This window comes from Homo sapiens, chromosome 5, assembly GCF_000001405.40.
Source record: "Homo sapiens chromosome 5, GRCh38.p14 Primary Assembly".
Classification (NCBI taxonomy): Eukaryota; Metazoa; Chordata; class Mammalia; order Primates; family Hominidae; genus Homo; species Homo sapiens.
In genome coordinates this window covers 171,217,687-171,239,137 of record NC_000005.10, presented here as the reverse complement: position 1 = coordinate 171,239,137, position 21,451 = coordinate 171,217,687, and the positions used below count along the sequence as shown (strand labels likewise).

At 38.6% G+C, this 21,451-nt stretch overlaps 1 protein-coding gene across 13 annotated transcripts in view; it reads right to left on the bottom strand.

Moving 5' to 3' along the window:
• The window catches only part of RANBP17 (RAN binding protein 17), a 437,998-nt gene that overhangs the window by 60,878 nt on the left and 355,669 nt on the right, over positions 1-21,451 (bottom strand). For all 13 annotated transcript variants that reach the window (XR_007058628.1, XM_011534627.2, NM_022897.5 and 10 more), the window contains one exon: positions 17,298-17,380. Coding sequence is in view for 12 of the 13 variants with exons in the window: in XM_011534627.2 (XP_011532929.1) it covers positions 17,298-17,380 (83 nt within the window). In the remaining variant the exon portion in view is untranslated. The remainder of the gene's footprint in view (positions 1-17,297; positions 17,381-21,451) is intronic.

Here is a 21,451-nt window from a genome sequence, read left to right as displayed (position 1 = left end):
TTCATGATCTCAATGTAACTTACCTTAGAGAGATAACAATAGTTGCATAAAGATTCAACTCAATATGACAGCATTTATTTAACAGCTACTATGTGTGAGGTGTTAGTATAAACAAATGAATAAAATAAAATCTCTGCCCTGAGGGAGTTCAGTCCGTTGGGGGAAATCGATCTGTAAATAAATAATTCCATACAATGTGACAAATGCCATCAGAGAGGTATGTCAAGATGTTATGTGAACAGAAAAAGAGACTAACTTTCCTTTGGCAGGAGGGCAGGGGGAAAGGCTTCACAGAACAGGCTAAGTTTGAAGGATAATTGAAGTTGCCACATGGACTTGTAAACAGAGGACTGTACTCTGGGTAGATGAAGTGCAAAGGCATGAAGGTCTAAGAAAGCCAGGTACTTCAGAAAAGAACAGTTCTACACCACTGTTTTTCTACCTTTGCCTCAAATTCAATTTAAACCAAGGTTAGACATTTTCCCTCCTTCCCCTTCCCAAGAAAGAACAGCACTGTATACCCATGTGATGAAAAGAGCTAGGGTAATTTTGGTAATTTTCACTGGTTTTGTGTTTGTTGGGAAGGCCAGGGTAAAAGTGAGAAAACTTTTGGGGCCTTTTTATGTTGATATCCTTAGAGGGAAAGGAAAGGTCCTATATTCTGTAGCAACAGATGAAATAGGCAGGCCAAGAACTGCCTGATTGGGAAAAAAAATCTGTAAAGGACTGCATAATCTATCATCAAGAAATATTTAGAATCATAACTGTTATCTCTATGTTAATATTGCAATTTGGCATATATGTCCTGCCTTTTGGACTATGTCAGATACATCTGTATTAACCCATTTATGCCGAAGGTTGCAAATTTTTTTGTGTGAAAAATCAGACCTTGGTGATGACCTTGAGCAGTAGGATACAAATAACTCCCACAAGCTTAGCGTCTTAATAATGGAAGACTAGGCATAAATGGGTTAAGACAGTAATTAATATACTATTTTGACCTTGCAACAGAATGATGAATACTTCTGAAATAGGAAACTACCTCATTTTGCTCAAGTGCCTCAGCATTCCATGGCGATAATAAAAGACCATGGAAAAGAAGGCTTGGCCATGTTATCCATTTATTTACTGGAATGCAGCTTTATTCAATATGTATTATTCAGCAATACTTACTGAAATTGTTGATCCTGCCCTCAAAAAGCTGAAAATCTAGGAGTTAGACTCACATTAGTATAAACAAAAGTGACAGGGCTTAGGTTTGCTTTTGATCTTCCTCTCTAGGTATGATATCCCTCCTTGTCCTCCCTGCTCCACTCCACACCTAGAAAGTTCTATTCCTTCCTTGTCAGCATTTCCTTCCTAAGAGGGAGATCTACATTGCACTGATGGACAGCTAGGAGATGATGGCATTGCCAGGTTAGCAGCTACTAAAACCAGTAACAGCTGCTACTTTGGTACTACTGTAGCAGCACACAAATAAATCATACTTTACTGAAATAAAACAGACTTTCAAAGGCTAGAACTAAAAGGAAAAACTCTAATTGTTTCCCACTGAGTACATTTGCCATAATTTGGGGAGGGGAAAAAGATACTGTAACATCCGTAAGCTGGGTAAGATAGATGCTGAGGCTATGTTGGGGCTCAGGGGAAAAGAATACTGTGAATTGAATGATTAACCTGGCCAAAGGCAATAACGGGGAATGGAGGCACAAGTACTATGGAATTCCCATTCTTACTCTTGTACTTGCTGTAGCAGTATAAGAAATCTCATTAAATAATGAGGGAAAACAACTAGGAAATGAGCACAGATAATTCCTGATCTACATAATTTGGCTTATTAGAAATATTTTCCTCATTAATAGCTTAAGAGAACTGCTTGGGGTTCTCCTTCTTCACCTCCACTCTCTGTCCTTCATGGAGAGGACTTTGTTGTTGTTATTAGCTTCCAACACTCAGAAGTACCCTTCTAGACAACTTGCAAGATGTACTTTTAAAGAGGGATACACATAGGAAGATGTCACATCTCCTGCTCATCTGCGACCGACTCTCAGGTGTATTTTTTTAAAATTATTTTTTCTCCTGAGACCCATCCTTTTTGCTGAGTGACTGACTCCAGGATGTCTTCCTCTTCAGAAGAGACTCCCATTACCCAAAGAAGAATGGCTTTCTTTCACAGGCCTCAGCTGGAGAACTACATAATAAGATAATATTGTAACAGAAGATAAACATATAGTACAGAAGGTACTGATTTACAGTGTGGGCTTTTGACTCATACTGACCTGGCCTGAATCCTAGATCTTTCCTTACTATCTAGGTATCTGAGCAGATTATTAACTTGTGTACTTCACAGTTTCCTCATCTACAAAATGAGGATAATAACACCTATAATTCACAAGGCTCTTACGTGGAGTAAAGGAGACAGCATATGTAAAGTAGCTGGCACAGTGCTCTATAAATGTAAACTATGACAATACACAGTACTTGGGGCTCAGTTTTTTTTTTCCTGTAAGTTCACATTTGGAGGAACTATAGCCTCAAAAAGAGGAGGAGGTGAAGCTGAGTGTGTGCGGTATAAAATAATGTCACTTCCCTCTAGTCCTTTTCATTTACACAATTCAAAGTAAGGTCAATACTCTATCATTTGACAGCCTCTTGTGTTTCTTCAATAGAGAATTAGCTGCAGGGGATTACAGTTTTGCTATTTGCTTCCCATTCCACCAATTTGCTACGCCTCAAAATACTTAGAAAAGTGATGCAAGGGATAAGATATACCACCGTAGTATCTTATACCAGGAGAAACTAACAGTATAAACAATGTTATTTCTTGGCTTACAAAGCAATCAATCACATTGATTTACCTTTTCTTTTTCTCTTTTAATCTCTAAAATTTTAAAGTGAATTTGATAGCTAGCTGACAACTGTACAGGCTGAATGTCTTCACTTATCATTGGAAGGAGCAGTTATGCGAAGAGAACTGCAACTTGCTGACATTCCTTTACTTCAGGCCACTCAACCCACTCTTGTCTCTCTGCAAACCAGCAAGGTCTCTGGACATAAATGGTGTGGGACAGAATTGAAGCTGCAAAGACTGGAGGGAATATAATATTTCCCTTTCAGATTAAAAAAGATAACACAATGCAGTGTTGATAAGGATTTAGAAAAATAAAAAATTGTTGGGAATATAAAATTAGTATAACTATTCTAGAAGGCAATTTGGTGACACTTATTAAAAATATTTTAAAAAGGCTGGGTGAAATGGCTTGCATCTGTAATCCCAGCACTTTGGGAGGCTGAAGCGGATGGATCACTTGAGTCCAGTAGCTTGAGATCAGCCTGGGCAACATGGCAAAATTCCATCTCTACAAAAAATTAGCCAGGTGTAGTGGCATGCATCATCAGTCCCAGCTACTTGGGAGGCCGAGGTGGGAGGATCACTTGAGCCCAGGAGGCTGAAGCTGCAGTGAGCCATGATCACACCACTGCACTCCAGCCTGGATGAGAGTGAGACCCCATCTTGAAAAAATATATGTGTGTGTGTGTGTACATCAATTTCTATTTTCTAATACTAATATTCCCTACCATTTATACCTTTCTACTAGCATTTGCACTCACATATACTGTCTTTAGTAAAAGTCAATCCCTCAACATGTCCAACTAGTTCCCATCTCCTCTCTCTTATGTGCTTAAAGACAAGGCACCAACAATTTTTGCCCTTCTCTATATGCAATCTTGTTTGTTTGTTTGTTTGCTATTGGCTCATTCTCATCAGCATACAAGTCACACTACTGTCTCTTCCATGAAAAAAAAAAAAAAAAGACACATGCAAAAACTTCTCTTGGCCTTACTTCCCCTGCTAGATATTGCTCAATTCATTGTTTCCATTTCTTCTCTTCTCATTCTCTTTTATGCCCGCTCCACTCAAAGTGCTCTTTTCAAGGTTACTAGTGACTTCTGGTTGCTAAATGTAATGGCTGACTCTTAGCCTTCATCTTACTTGATTGACTGGCAGCTTTCGATAGGTCATAGGTGACTACCTCGTCTTCCAAGACACATTCTCTCGATTTTCTTCAGTGTTTGCTCCTTCTCACTCTTCTTTGCCAGTTCCTTCTTTCTTACCTTCCAACATTGGAGTGCACCAGAGCTCAAACCTAAGTCTTCCTCTATATTTACACTCACCCCTAGTTGTAGTAGGTGTGCTGAAGCATGCACACTCATTCCTAGTTCTTACCTAGTTCTGCGCTTTAAATATCATCTATGAGTCAAAGGACTCCCTAGACCTATTTTCCAAACTCCAGAATCAAAAATCCATATTGGCATTCAACATCTCTACTTGGGTATTAATGGACATCTCAAATTCAACATAACCAAAAGGGAACTTTGGTCCCCCACACCCATCTTAGCCTTCTCCATCTCAGTTGATGGCAACTACTTCTTTCTAGTTGCTTGTGCTCAAATCTCTTGACTACATTTTTTCTGTCCTACCATTTGCCCAATGAATCAAGAAATTTGATTTGTCTTACTTTCATAATATATCCAGAATCTGACCACTCCCACTGCTATTACTTTGTTCAAAGCCAGTATCAAACTTTGCCTGAATTACTGCAATATTGTCCTATCTGACTTCCCTGCTTATAACTTTAATCCTCTATAGTCTATCCTTAATATAGCAGCGTGAGTAATTTTTTAAAAACTTAGGTCAGGTCATGTCATTCCTGTGCTCAATATGTTCTAGAGGCCCTCTATTTTATTTAGAGTTAAAGTCAAAGTGATGTTAGTGGGCTACAGGCCTTATATGATACTGTTCTTGTTACTACTCTCCCTTTTGTTCAATCTGCTTCAGCTACTGACCTCCTTGCTGCCCTTCAGACAAGCTAGATACACTCCCGCCTTAAGACTCTACCACTTGCTGTTTCCTCAGCCTAGACTGGTCTTCAAGGAATCCACGTGACTAACTCCCTCATTTACTGGAAGTCTTTACTCAAATGTCATATTTTCAATGAGACCTACCTTGACCACTCTAATAATGCAACATGTCCCTAAATCCCTGGTACTTAAGATGTGTGTGTGTATTTTTTTTTTTTTTTTACAATAAGGAGTTTAAGGATCACAGCAAAGCTGAGAGAGAGGTACAGCGATTACCATACATCTCCTGCCCCCACACATGCACAGCTTCCCTACTATCAACATCCCCCACTAGAGTGGTGCATTTGTTACAATCTGGACCTATATTGACATATCATTATCAGTCAATGTCATAGTTTACATCAGCGTTCACTGTTGGTGGTGTACCTTTTATGGGTTTGGACAAATGTATAATGAATATGCATCCACCATTATAGTATCACACAGAGTTTCAATGCCTCCAAATCCTCTGCTCTGCCTATTCATCCTTCACTGTCCCCTAACCACTGGCAGCCACTGAGCTTTTACTGTCTTCATAGTTTTCCCTTTTCCAGAATGTCACGTAGTTGGGATTATACAGTATGTAAGGCTTTTCAGATTGGCTTCTTTCACTCAGTAAGAGGACTGCAGTTCCTACATATCTTTTTGTAGTTTTCTAGCTTTATTTATTTTTTTTTAGTGCTGAATAACATTCCATTGTCTGGGTGTACTGTTGTTTATTTATCCACTCACCTATTGAAAAAAATCAGTTTTAGCAATTGAGAATAAAGCTGCTATAAGTATCAGTGTGCATGTTTTTGTGTGACCGTAAGTTTTCGATGCCTTTGGATAAATACCAAGGGGCATGATTACTGGATCGTACAATGACTGTGTTTAGTTTCATAAGAAGCTGCCAAACTGTCTTCTAAAGTGGCTGCGCCATTCTGCATTCTACCAGCAGTGAATTAAGAGTTTCTGTTGTTTCACTCTCTGGGACTTAGATGCCCCCTTATCCTAATCTATTTTCTTTCTTTCTTTTTTAATAGCACTTATTACCTTCTTTTACTTTTCTAATTTTTTTTATAGAGACGGGGTCTCACAGTGATGCCCAGGTTAGTCTCAAACTCCTGGGCTCAAGCAATCCTGCATCAGCCTCCCAAAGTGCTAGGACTACAGGCATGAGCAGCTGCGCCCAGTCTACCTTCTAATTACTAGTTAATTTCTTTTTTGGTTTGCCCACTGAGGTATCCAAAGAACCTGGAACAGCAACTGCTGTTCTTATTACACATTTGTTGAATGAATGACTGAAACTCACAAAGCTGAATGTACAAAGTTATTGACTGAAGCACTATGTATGATAATGGAAAAGCAGATGTTCAGCTAAAGGCGATTAATAAATTATAGTATGACTATAAAATGGAATATTTTGCAGCTATTTAAAAAGATGAGGTAGATTTATATATGTTAACATAGAACAATGACCATAATATAAATAAAAACCAACAAATTACAGACTAGCAAGTATATTATGATATCACTTTTGGGAAAATATGTGTATATGTACACATAAAAAGCATAGAAGGGCACATACACTAAACTGTTAATAATGGTTAACTTTGGGTGATGAATGGGGGGGTTTTCTTTTCCTGTACCAAGTGAAAAATGGAAAATTTAAAGCTTACAGAATTTATTTTGAAATAACATTGCTGGATTTTTCCCCCCCATGGGTATATTATTTTATAGTTAGAGAAAAGAAAAAAAAGAAAAGAAATTATTTTGCATGAAAAAAGATGAGAAAGAAAGTGATAGGTACAGAAAAACATGATAGAAAAAGACATGGTAGTACAAGTGGACCCCAGGCTGTATGCTTATGGTGGTTCCATACCTTCCTTAACTTTACAGCATAAGTTGCTGACATAGAAGATGGAATTTCAGCACTGATGTAATTTTGTTTCTGAACTCTCAAGAGTAATGTTGTCCAATAATTTAATTACAAATTTAAGTATGATTCACTACCTTTTTTGAATAAAAGATTTTGTATAGGTTATTTTATAAGCATATTAGTAGATATAAAAATCTTAAAAACATTAACTTTTAACCTCAATATTTCAAACTATTTTGAAGTTTCTGTTTTCTTTCAACTGTTGCCACATATATAGAAGTCTAACATTACCTAGAGCATAGGTGAAATTTGAATTCTACCTTTACATGGTATTATTTGTATTTCCCATAAGCTAGGTAATCTTAAAAGATAATTTTTAATGGTTGCAATTTATTCCATTGAACTGATATATCCTTCTATGTTATTTCAAGCATTTTGCTATTTGTAGCATTTTGTTTGTTTTCCCATTTTTCACTATTATGAATAATGTAACATCAAGGATCTTTAGCTGTAGTTAGCTGTCCTCTATCATTAGATTATTTCCATTATTAGATCATTTCCAACATTAGAAGAAAAATAGAAATGAGTTTATAAAGGTTAGGGACATTTTTATAATTCTTGCTTTTCCATGGAGCCATACCAAGTAACCGAAAAAGAAAAAAAATAAATTCCCCGTATTTAAAGCTTACAGAGTTTATTTTGAAATAATTATGTATTTTTTCTTATTTGTTGAAAGGAATTTCAACTAGACGCACAATTGTTAACTGGTAGCTACCAGCAAAACCTACTTCTAGTCTCTCAGTCAGATGCAACCACTTCTTGAGTGATCTCATGTGCAAACAATAGAATTAGGTATTGGGGAATGTCTTGTCCTAGACTGAATATTAACAAAAAGAAAACTATATTGAAGATGGCAAGGATCCTACGTATAGTCTTAGAGTAGTATTTGGTACAAAACAGTACACAAGATTCTATAAATTCCCAAGAACTGGTATACTTTTCTTTGTGTGATAATATAAATTTTGTAAAATCACATTATCATATAGGAGGGAATCATGTTGAGATAGGAAAGGTAGACATAATTTTATGTCTACTAAGATTGTATGCTAATTTAAATAACAATTCTGGCCAGGCGTGGTGGCTCAAGCCTGTGATCCAAGGACTTTGGGAGGCTGAGTGCGGAGGATTGCTTGAGGTAAGGAGTTTTGAGAAAAGCCTGGGCAACATAGTGAGGCCCTATCTCGACTTAAAATTACAAAAAAAAAAAAAAAAAAGCCAGGCATGGTGGTACGTGCCTGTAGTCCCAGCTACTCAGGAAGTTGAGGCAGGAGGATAACCTGAGCCCAGGACTTCGAGGGTTCAGTGAATTATGATCATGACACTGCACTCCAGCCTGGGTGACAGAGTGAGATCTTGTCTCAACAAAAAAACAAAACAAAACCAAAAAAAGCCTAATTCTGTTCCTCTCTCTTCTAGCTTTACACCAAATAATTCACCTACCACAACGCTATCAAAGTGGTTTCTCAAAAATGTAAATATGGTCATACCATCCAGTATTTTCCTTAAAGAATGTATATCTTTAAGGATAAAGTTGTAATATATATATATATTTTTTAACAGAGTCTTGCTCTGTCGCCCAGGCTGGAATGCAAAGGTGCGATCTCAGCTCACTGCAACCTCTGCCTCCCAGGTTCAAGCAATTCTCCTGCCTCAGCCTTCCAGGTAGCTGGGATTACAGGTGCCCGCCACCACACCTGACTAATTTTTTGTATTTTCAGTAGAGATGGGGTTTCGCCATGTTGGCCAGGCTGGTCTCGAACTCCTGACCTCAGGTGATCCACACGCCTCGGCCTTCCAAAGTGCTGGGATTACAGGCATGAGTCACTGTGCCCAGCCTAAAGTTGTAATTCTTTACTTTGACCCAAAAGTTACTACATAACTAACTGGGCGTCTCTCACTGCCTAAAGCTCCTTAACATTAGCTTTAGTCTTCAGCAATTTTGAAATTCCTTAAGTTTCCTAACCAACCAGGCTGTTCTATATTTATGTGCTTTGTAAAATCTATTCTCTTCTTTAAATGCCCTTCTAAAACTTCTGAGCCTTATTCTTTTCCCTTCAAGAAATATTGCCTTCTCTAAACCCCCAGTTTCAGCTAGAAATCTCTTCTGGGCTCCTATGGCACTCTAAATACTTCTCAAGGATAACACATAGCACAACACATCATAATTCTTTCTTGATTTGTCCGACTCCCCTGCTGGACTTAAGTTCCTTAAGGGAAGAATCTATAAGATTCTTTTTTTTCTTTTTTTTGAGACGGAGTTTCGCTGTTGTTGCCCAGGCTGGAGTGCAATGGCACGATCTCGGCTCACTGCAACCTTTGCCTTCCGGGTTCAAGCGATTCTCCTGCCTCAGCCTCCTGAGTAGCTGGGGTTATAGGCATGCACCACCACGCCCGGCTAATTTTGTATTTTTAGTAGAGATGGGGTTTCTCCATGTTGGTCAGGCTGGTCTTGAACTCCCAACCTCAGGTGACCCACTCGCCCTGGCCTCCCAAAGTGCTGGGATTACAGGTGTGAGCCACTGCGCCCAGGTGGATTCTTTTTTTTTTTTTTTTTTCCTTTTGCATCTTATTTATCTTCCTATCTCTCACAGCATCAGAAACGTATTAACAGCAAATGCTCAGCCAGGCGCAGTGGCTCACGCCTGTAATCCTGGCACTTTGGGAGGCCGAGGTGGGCAGATCACTTGAGGTCAGGAGTTTGAGACCAGCCTGGCCAACATGGTGAAACCCCATCTCTACTAAAAATACAAAAATTAGCAAGGCATGGTGGCGGGCACCTATAATCCCAGTTACTCGGGAGGCTGAGGCAGGAGAATTGCTTGAACCCAGGAGGCAGAGGTTGCAATGAGCTAAGATCGTGCCATTGCACTCCAGCCTGGGCGACAGAGCAAGACTGAAAAAAACAAACAAAAAAAACAACAAAAAAGTAAATGCTCAACAAATGTTAGGTGCATGGATGAAGGAATCCACTGAAATCTAAGCATGTGTTCAGCTATCATCCTGAAGGCCTTGCTTTGTAAGCCACCTGATCCTGATTTTGGGATCCCAAGGTGTTGATCATTCCACTGTGTCCACAAGACTTCTGTGAACCTTACTCTGCTACTTTGTTATTATATGCCTTAACCAACTGACAAGATCGAAGACCATATCCATAGTTCCTGGACAATCTATTCTCTCGAGAACTGTTATTTTTTGGTGATATTTTATTAACTCTCTAGTTATTTCAAGACCAATGAATTATTTAGCTATCTTCTTGTAATCATTTATACATAAGTATCATTTATACATAACTATAGGCACACTTTGGAAATATTGTGAGTTCAGTTCCAGACCACTACAATAAAGCAAATATCCCAATAAAGTTAGTCACACTTTTTTTTTTCTGGTTTCTCAGTGCATATAAAAGTTTACACTGTACTGTAGTCTGTTAAGTGTGCAACAACCTTGTTTCTAAAATAATAATGTATATATCATAATTAAAAATGTTTTATTGCTAAAAATTGCTAGCAATCATCTGAGCCTTCAGTGAGTTGTAATCGTTTTCCTGGTGGAAGGCTGGTCTTGATGTTGATAGCTGCTGACTGATCAGGGTAGTGGCCAAAGGTTGAGGTGGCTGTGGCAATTTCTTAAAATAAGACAACAATGAAATCTGCTGCATCAATTGACTTCCTTTCACAAAAGATTTCTCTGTAGCATACAATGCTGTTTGTTAGCATTTGACCCACAGGAGAACTTCTTTAAAAATTGGAGTCAATCCTCTCAAACTCTGCTGCCACTTTATCAACTAAGGTTATGTCATATTTTAAAGCTTTTTGCCACAAGTAGATTCCATCTCAAGACACCACTTTCTTTGGTCATCCAGAAGAAGCAACTCCTCATCCATTCAAGTTTTATCATGAGACTGCAGCAGTTCAGTCACATCTTCAGTCTCCACTTCTAATTATAGGTCTCTTGCTGTTTCAACCACATCTGCAGTTAATTTCTCCCCTGAAGTCTTGAACTCTTCAAAGTCACCCATGAGGGTTGGAATCAACTTCTTCCAAACTCCCGCTAAATATTGATTTTCACCTCCTCCTGTGAATCACAAATGTTCTTGATGGCATCTAGAATAGTGAATCCTTTCTGGAAGGCTTTCAATTTACTTTGCCCAGATCCATCAGAGGAATCACTATCTATGGCAGCTACAGCCTTACAGAATGTATTTCTGATATAATACGACTTGAAAGTCAAAATTACTCCTTGATCCATGGGCTGCAGAATGCATGTTGTGTTAGCAGACATGAAAACAACATTAATCTCCTTGTACATCTCCATCAGAGCTCCTGGGTGACGAGGTGCACTGTCAGTGAGCAGTAACCTTTTGAAAGGGATCTTTTTCTGAGCAGTAGGCTTCAACAGTGGGCTTAAAGTGGTCAGTAAAGCATGCTGTAAACAGATGTGCCGTCATCCAGTCTTTGTTGCTATACTTCTAGAGCACATGCAGAGTAGATTTAGCATAATTCTTAAGGGCCCTAGGATTTTCAAAATGGTAAATTGAGCATTGGCTTCAACTTCAAGTCACCGTCAGCATTAACCCCTAACAAGAGACTCAGTCTGTCCTTTGAAGCCAAGCATTGACTTTACACCTCGCTAGCTGTGAAAGTCCTAGATGGCATCTTCTTCCAATAGCATTTTGTCTCCGTGAAAAATGTTGTTTAGTGTAGCCACCTTCATCAAAATGAATCTTAGCTAGATCTTCATGATAACTCGCTGCAGCTTCTCCATCAGCACTTGCTGCTTCACCTTGCACTTTGATGTTATGGAGGTGGCCTTTTTCTGTAAACCTCATGAACCAACCTCTGCTAGCTTCCAACTTTTCTTCTGTAGCCTCCTCACCTCTCTTAGCCTTCACAGAAGTGAAGAGAGTTAGAGCCTTGCTCTGGATTAGGCTTTGCCTTAAGGGAATATTATGACTGGTTTGATCTCAGACTACTAAAACCTTCTCCATGTCAGCAATAAGGTTGTTTCACTTTTTTATCATTTGTGTGTTTGCTAGTGTAGAATTTTTAATTTCTTTCAAGAGCTTTTCCTTTGCATTCACCACTTGGCTGTTTGGTGCAAGAGGCCTAGCTTTTGACCTGTCTCAGCATTTGACATGCCTTCTTCGCTAAGCTTAATCATTTCTAGCTTTTGATTTAAAGTGAGACATGTACAACTCTTACTTTCACTTGAATACTTGTAGGCCATTGTAGGGTTATTCATTGGCCTGATTTCAATATTGCTGTGTCAGAGAATAGGGAGTGGGGAGGAGAAGGGAAGAGATGGGGAATGGCCAAAGCAGAGCAGTCAGAATACACATTTATTAATATGACTCAGAGACACAAAGAAATCATATGCTGGCACTGATATACTTGCTCCATGCAGGGTTGCTCCAAACCTTCAATTTATAAAAAACACAGTATCTGCAAAGTACAACAAAAAGAAGTATGCCTGTATACAATCTTAATCTTCCATTCTTACAACACTTCTAATAGTACATGCAAGTGATTTTCAGCCTCTTTTTTAAAAAAAGTCCTAACAGGTGATAGCTTTTACGAACAAGTCTAGTGTAACTACATAGCTGGGTGGTTCTGGTCAAGGTGGCAAAGTGGTCCTCTTTCCCCCTTTTTCTGGAGGGCTGCTGTGGCACTTTCACAGGCCTCTACAGCTCTGCAAAACCAAGGGTGAAAACCAATGGCCTATTATCTAGGTGGTGACGAATAACAGTGGCTTGTATAACACTTTACAAATTCAATTTATGCATATTAAGTTATACCTTACATACACCCAGAGCATACACTGCTTAAAAGGATCCTGATGTAAATTCTTATGACAGTGAATAATCATAGCTTGTACTATCCATTTTTAAAGTTTAGAATCTTTATATATTGCGTTCTTAAATCAGGTACCTAAGGAAAGAATGAAGGCAGTTCTATTTTGGCCAGTCTTATGAAAACAATCATTATTTCTCCCTTCTGTGCACTCTTCAACCAACAGATGTCACTAAAGATACCAGGACCCAGAGGCAAAGAGAAGGAAAGATTAGACAAATGGAAATTGAACATAAAAATCATCCAGTTCTTAAAACTGAGAAGTAGGTTTCCAAAGTAATAACATTTATTACACTGCATGCAACATTTTAACCAAAAATTTAAGAAAGAAATTTCTTTTATTAAGTTGCTCAGGCTGAACGGATCGTAGCACTAAGTTTTGAAATACATGTTCTTGAAGCAATTTAAAACTCATTAGAAATAATAGGCTTGGGCTAGTAGAAAATGTGGTAAAATTTAATCCTCATCCAAATGTTACCTGGGCTGTACAAACAGGAAATTGTTTTGTGCTACTGTGGCTAACCTCATTGCTGACCCTGAGCTGTAACGGCAAGAGGAGCTGAGAGCTGAAGCAAAATTAAAAACTTACATCAAAGTATATCATGACAGACTGTAGATAAATAAAACAGCATATCAAAAGTATTATTTTTCTGCCAGTCTCACAGAGCAGTGAGGCGGAGGTATTTCACAAAATACATAACAAGTCAGTTGCATTTGGAAATGCTTCCTTCCCTCTCTGCACCGCCCTGATCATAACCAAAAACTGCTCAGGAGAGGTGATCAGAGAAGAACCCAGTGAGGATGGAAACAGAAGGGATCACAGAATGTTCTGGCCTCTTTCCTCCACTGGCTTCCCTTTCCTTCACCTGGGCTTACCAAAGAGATAAACAGTGCTGGCTCTTCTGTGCCCTCCCAGTCACTCTTTCCCTCATCTTCTAGACTCCTGAATGGCAACTACATGATCTTCCTCCAATGTGTATATTAGAATTTCCAGAGGTAAAAGCCTGGGTAATAAAACATTACAGAAGGTAAAGACAGACAAATCAGATGGCTGATGTGGACCAGCAAGAGAATCAGTAGAGGTTAAGAAACATTTTTCTATTATTCTATGTAAAGTGCATGTATCAAAGTCACTGTCAAAGTCACTGGTGACCCAGTTGAAGGACATTTTTTTCATTGAAACTTTGATTTCCTTTAAGTTTTGAGATAGAAATCACCATACTTTAAAGAACAGTGCTTCATCATAAATATCCATGGTAAAATCTTACTTTGGCAACTCCCAAGAGGCAGTAAAGAATATGAAAAGACCACTGTCAGTATGACTGAATGAAATTCCAATTCAGCTACTTGCTAGCTATGTAATATTTGGCAATTTTTTTTAACCTCTGTGAGCTTCAATTTCTTCACAACAGTAATCACAGTCGTTAACTAGTCTAAGGGCTTTCCATACATTACCTAACTGAATTCTCACAACCATGTCTTTGAGGCATGAAGTATTTTCTCTAACAAGAAACTGAAGCAAGAGAGGCTTACAACTTAACCAAGGTCATATTAACTAGTGAGTAGCATATAATACCTACCTTGAGGATTCAACAGGGTAATGTATGGTAAATGGTCTAATATAGGACTATAAAAGCTTATAACAAAGTGAAAGCTACCAATACTATTAGTCTAAATTGAGGAGCAGAGCCTTACTCTAATCTCATCTTTCTTCCGTGTAAGAAAACTCCTTACTGGCTTTTCTTTGCAAGAATGCTCTGGACGTTTTGTCTCTTCCCCCACTCCACTTCACTTCTCCTATCCCTTCATTTCCTTTCTCTTCTGTCTCCTCTTCCTCCTCCTCCGACATAATCCTCACATAGTTATTTTTCTCAACTTTTGCTGCAATGCCTTTTTCTATGTCAGACAACCCAACAGAGAACAGAACAACCTTTGAAGCCCATAGATTTGGCATTATTCTGTGAGAATCCTTTTGGTGTCACTTACTGGACATACATTCTGTCCTAGAAAGTCAGTGACACTGGAAGAGGAAGCTCACTTCCCTTAACAGCCCTAGTGCAACAGTAAATAAACCCTAAAGGAAAAAATATATTTAGTGAAAAGAAAGATCCAGAAAAAGGGGTAGGAATGACACAACTGTGACTGGTAACAGGAATCTAACATATGCATAGTTAAAGTTCTACTGATTACTAAGAGATTCTTATACATATATGCTGTTTATTTCCTTTAAATAAGAGAGGAAATAAAAACTAATCACTGGCTACAGGCAGAGGAAGCAGGGCAGTGTGGTCCAAACAGGAAACACTGCTGAGCAAAACAATGATGTGGGTTGTTGAACCCCTGTCCAAAGAAGGCTGGGTTGGTGAGTATAAGAGAAAGGCTTTGGAAGGAGAGGCATAAACAGCGAGTAACTCTTCCATGTTACCTCCTGTGCCAGGCCTTTTACCAGAATAGCTCAATTAGCCTTCTTAATCCCAACTAGGCAGATAAGTCAGTAGGTATTTAGTAGTCCTAATTTTATACAAAAGAAAACTAGCCACAAAGAGGTATATATAGTATTTTAGCTGAAGGTCATGAAGTCGGTAAGTATTGGTAACAGGATTAGTACTGAGATCTTGCAAATCTGAAAACTGTGCTTTTTCTAATATACCATGCTGTTTTTGAAAAAAGGTCCAGACACACATCTTATATGATAAAACATAGAATGGAATTAGATATATACAAAAAGTATGGCAAATTGTATTTAGAAAATTTTTTAAAGGGGTTCATTTTTACCTCTAGGAGGCAAAGCATTTCCACTTTATATGATTTTATTTTTATTTTATTTTTTGAGACAGAGTTTCACTCTTGTTGCCCAGGCTGGAGTGCAATGGTGCAATATTGGCTCACTGCAACCTCTGCCTCCCGGGTTCAAACGATCCTCCTGCCTCAGCCTCCTGAGTAGCTGGGATTACAGGTGCCCGCCACCACGCCTGGCTAATTTTTTGTATTTTTGGTAGAGACGGGGTTTCACCATGTTAGCCAGGATGGTCTCGAACTCCTGGCCTCAAGTGATCCGCCCGCCCTGGCCTCCCAAAGTGCTGGGATTACAGGCATAAACCACTGTGCCCAGCCCACTTTATATGATTTTAATGTGTCTATTTTCAAACAGGATACAAAAGTTGTGGCAATGTAGTTACTGGTACAGATGAAAATAAGAGAGTACAAGTTTACTGTCCTATACAGGTGCTTTCTCTAGTTTTTACACATGAAAAAATCTCAAATTCTACAAATCAGATGTGCAATTAAAATGAAGTATTTTTAATGGAGGCCTACAATGTATACAGCTCAGATCCCCAGAATGTGTTCTGAAATGAGGTAAAAACAACTTAAAACACCCATTTTTTTCTTTTTAAAATAGGCTTTTACTTTAAAAAAAGTGACAAGGCTTCTATTGGTTGTTCTTACATACATACACAAACACATACAGAATTAAAATAAAGAGATTTTACAAAATTTTGTACAATTTGTTTCTGGGTACCCAAATATTAGAATCACGGCTGGGTGCAGTGGCTCATGCCTGTAATCCCATTACTTTGGGAGGCTGAGGTGGGTGGATCACTTGAGGTCAGGAGTTCAAGACCAGCCTGGCCAACAAGGTGAAACCCCATCTCTACTAAAAATACAACAATTAGCCAGGCGTGGTGGCGTGCCTATAACCACAGCTACTCGGGAAGCTGAGGTGGGAGGATCACCTGAGCCTGGGATGTGGATGTTGCAGTGAGCTCTGAGATCGTGCCACTGCACTGTCCAGTCTGGGTGTCAGAGTGAGACTCCGTCTCAAAAAAAAAAGAATAACAGGCAACTTTACAGACTAAATTTACTTAACAGTTTGCTGTAGATTTGGGAAAGAACAGAGAGGGAAAAAAAGGACACAGGGAAACATTCCTCAAGGAGAAGTGCATTGCACAGAGCCCAGCTCAGTTGCCATTCAGTCACTGTGTGCCAAATTAGATTACAGAGGATTTTTATCCATCCCATCTCCATTCCTTATCTACATAAAGGTCTCAGAGAGTAGAGAATTTCATTGATGACAGTGTCAGAATTGGCAATTATTAGAGTTTATTATAGTTTTAAGGCCCAAACTGCTAACCAAATACTATTTTGGACTTTAATTGAATAGGACAATCTTTCCTGTAGAACTCTGCTTCTAGAGGCGCAGTACCCAAAAGTTCTTCATAATGAAATATTTACTGCTCTTTACAAGGATATTTTCCCACAATTCAGTGACATTCTGCTTTAAGCATTCCTTGGTTCAACATAGCAAACTCCCTGATGTAACTTTGAGCAATTTTGAATATGCTGTAACTTTTCAATATTCTACCTAGTGTATTCCCTCATCTACTGACACTGCAATTTTATCCAAAAGAAATTCATCAAGTTGGTCAGGCATGATTTAGTCAAAGGCATGCTGCTTACTTCTCCTGATGCCAATATGATAGCTAACTGGCTTTTTGCACTTGTATTACCGACTTCACAAATTCATAAAGATATGAAAGTTCAAAAGAACAAAATAACTAACATCTTTCTTTCCTCTAAAGAGATAAAACTATATTGCAGAGGCACATATGGAAAAGGACACTCACCATAAGTGCAAACCATTTTACTAGCTTCTCTGAAGAGAAGAATTCCATTAGGAGATGATACATCAAAATTCAAACGCTGGGATCTAAGAAATATAGAAAAAAATTGCCTATATGTGAAGATAAAGAAACCAAACACAGATTTAAAATGCCTAGGATTTTCATTTATAAGAAGTAGCAGCAGTACAATTGTCTCTTAAAGTTCCACTCCATTTTATAAACAACTGTTGATAAAATACGTATGCTAATTTCTTCACTCTAAAGATAGTAGGACAATTAAGAAGAATTATTTTCATTTATTTGCTAATTCAAAGAGTTCATTTTTTATCTGTCAAAACAATATCCTGACATTCTTTATCACAGATTTCTTGCCCCTTCTTTCATGCCAACTGGATGATGGATAATAATAAAACACCCCAGGTGTCTAAGTTTAGACAAATACTTGGATAATGATATATATTTCCATTTGAGATTTCCTACAGTGCCTGATACACATTTTTAAAACAAATTCTAAAGTGATGAGTAGGAAATCTGGTACTTTTAAAATACTGCACATATGTGTAAAGAATTACCTGACACTTCAGGCATATTTCAAACACATTACAGTTTCCACTGCATACAACTTCAGTAAAGAGAAACAAATCTCATAAGTTCACCTATGAGTAGCAATTCTACTTTCCTGGTTCCTACTGGGGTTGGGCAAGTGTGAACAGGGTAAAGAACTAACATGACCTCCTGACATATTTGATTTTTAAACAATTGCTTTGGCTTTTAAGAAGAAGTGGCATTTTGAAAAAAGGATTAGCAAAACAAAAACTACCAAAAAGCAAGACATTGCTAAAGACCTGTTTACCAAGAATAAAACAAATTTTTGCTTTTCCATGCTTTTTAAAAATGCTTTAGTATTAAGTACAATGATTACCTATTAGAAATATTATTATGAACATGATTGCTGGCATACAAGTTCTGATTAAAGAAATGCATATACATAATTTGCATTAAATTCTAGAGAAATATAGAAAAGATAACATTTTCCAAAATAACAAAATTTCACAAGGTAATTCTTAGGACAATTGTGCTAGATAAGAATCATTTGGACCAGGCGCGGTGGCTCATGTTTGTAATCCCAGCACTTTGGGAAGCCGAGATGGGTGGATCACCTGAGGTCAGGAGTTCAAGACCAGCCTGGCCAATATGGCGAAACCCTGTCTCTCCTGAAAACACAAAAATTAGCCAGGTGTGGTGGCATGTGCCTGTATCCCAGTTATTCAGGAGGCTGAGGCAGGAGAATCACTTGAACCTGGGAGGTGGAGGTTGCAATGAGTCGAGATAGGGCCACTGCGCTCCAGCCTGGGCAACAAGGTGAGACTCTGTCTCAAAAAAAAAAAAAAAAAAAAAAAAAGAATCATCTGGGGAGGGACCAAGATGGCCAAATAGGAACAGCTACGGTCTGCAGCTCCCAGCGAGACCAATGCAGAAGGCGGGTGGGTCTCTGACTCCCGAGTAGCCTAACCGGGAGGCACCTCCCAGTAGGGGGGTGACTGACACCTCATAAGGCCGGGTGCCCCTCTGAGACAAAGCTTCCCAGAGGAAAGATTAGGCAGCAACATTTGCTGTTCTGCAGCCTCCACTGGTGATACCCAGGCAAACAGGATCTGGAGTGGACCTCCAGCAAACTGCAGCAGACCTGCAGAAGGGCCTGTTAGAAGAAAAACTAACAAACAGAAAGCAACAACATCAACATCAACATAAAGGACCCCCATACAAAAACTCCATTTAAAGGTCATCAGCCTCAAAGATTGAAGGTAGATAAATACACGAAGATGAGGAAAAACCAGCACAAAAAACACTGAAAATTCCAAAAACCAGAATGCCTCTTCTCCTCCAAATGATCACAGCTCCTCTCCAGCAAGGGCACAAAACTGGACGGAGAATGAGTTTGATGAATTGACAGAAGTAGGCTTCAGAAGGTGGGTAATAACAAACTCCTCCAAGCTAAAGGAGCATGTTCTAACCCAATGCAAGGAAGCTATGAACACTGATAAAAGGTTAGAGGAGCTGCTAACTAGAATAATCTGTTTAGAGAAGAACATAAATGACCTGATGGAGCTGAAAAACACAGCATGAGAACTTTGTGAAGCATACACAAGTATCAATAGCCAAATCGATCAAGCAGAAGAAAGGATATCAGAGACTGAAGATCAACTTAATGAAATAAAGTATGAAGACAAGATTGGAGAAAAAAGAATGAAAAGGAAAGAACAAAGCCTCCAAGAAAAATGGGACTATGTGAAAAGACCAAACCTGCCATTGACTGCTGTACCTGAAAGTGATGAGGAGAATGGAACCAAGTTGGAAAACACATTTCAGGATATTATCCAAAAGAACTTCCCCAACCTAGCAAGACAGGCCAACATTCAAATTCAGGAAATACAGAGAACACCACTAACACACTCCTTGAGAAGAGCAACCTGAGACACATAATCGTCAGATTCTCCAAGGTTGAAACGAAGGAAAAAATGTTAAGGGCAGCCAGAGAGAGAGGTCAGGTTACCTACAAAGGGAAGTGCATCAGACTAATGGCAAATCTCTCTGCAGAAACTGTATACGCCAGAAGAGAGTGGGGGCCAATATTCAACATTCTTAAAGAAAAGAATTCTCAACCCAGAATTTCATATCCAGCCAAACTAAGCTTCATAAGCAAAGAAGAAATAAAATCTTTTACAGACAAGCAAATGCTGAGGGATTTTGTCACCACCAGGTCTGCCTTACAAGAGCTCCTAAAGTAAGTGCTAAATATGGAAAGGAAAAACCAGCCACTGCAAAAACGCACCAAAATACAAAGACCAATGACACTATGAAGAAACTGCATCAACTAATGTGCAAAATAACCAGCTAGCATCATGATGACATGATCAAATTGAAACATAATATTAACCTTAAATGTAAATGAGCTGAATGCCCCAATTAAAGGACACAGAAGGCAACTTGGATAAAGAGTCAAGACCCATCGGTGTGCTGTATTCAGGAGACCCATCTCACATGCAAAAACACAGACAGGCTCGAAATAAAGGGATGGAGGAATACTTACCAAGCAAATGGAAAGGAAAAAAAAAAAAGGGTGGCAATCTAGTCTCTGATAAAACAGACTTTAAACCCACAAAGATCAAAAAAGACAACGAAGGGCGTTATATAATGCTAAAGGGATCAATGCAACGTGAAGAGCTAACGTAAATATACATGCACCCAATACAGGAGCACCCAATACAGGAGCACCTAGATTCATGAAACAAGTTCTTAGAGACATATAAAGAGATTTAGACTCCCACACACTAATAGTGGGAGACTTCAACAGCCCACTGTCAATATTAGACAGATTGATGAGACAGAAAATTAGCAAGGAGATTTAGGACTTGAACTCAGCTCTGGACCAAGTAAACCTAATAGACATCTACAGAACTCTCCACCCCAAATCGACAGAATATACATTCTTCTCAGTGTCACAAAGCATGTATTCTAAAATCGACCACATAATTGGAAGTAAAACACTCCTCAGCAAATGCAAATGAACAGAAATCATAACAAACTGTCTCTCAGACCACAGTGCAATCAAATTAGAACTCAGGATTAAGAGACTCACTCAAAACCACACAACTACATGGAAACTGAACAACCTGCTCCTGAATGACTACTGGGTAAATAACAAAATTAAGGCAGAAAAAAATTAGTTCCTTAAAACCAATGAGAACAAAGAGACAACGTACTAGAATCTCTGGGACACAGCTAAAGCAGTGTTAGGTGGGAAATTTATAGCACTAAATGCCCACAAGAGAAAGCTGGAAAGCTCTAAAATAGACACCCTAATATCACAATTAAAAGAAATAGAAAACCAAAAGCAAACAAATTCAAAAGCTAGCTGAAGACAAGAAATAACTAAGATCAGAGCAGAACTGAAGGAGATACATGAAAAACCCTTTGAAAAATCAATGAATCCAGGAGCTGTTTTTTTGAAAAAATTAACAAAATAGATGGACCACTAGCTAGACTAATAAAGAAGAAGAATCAAATAGATGCAATAAAAATGATAAAGGGGATATCACCACTGATCCCACAGAAATACAAATACCATCAGAGAATACTATAAACACCTCTACACA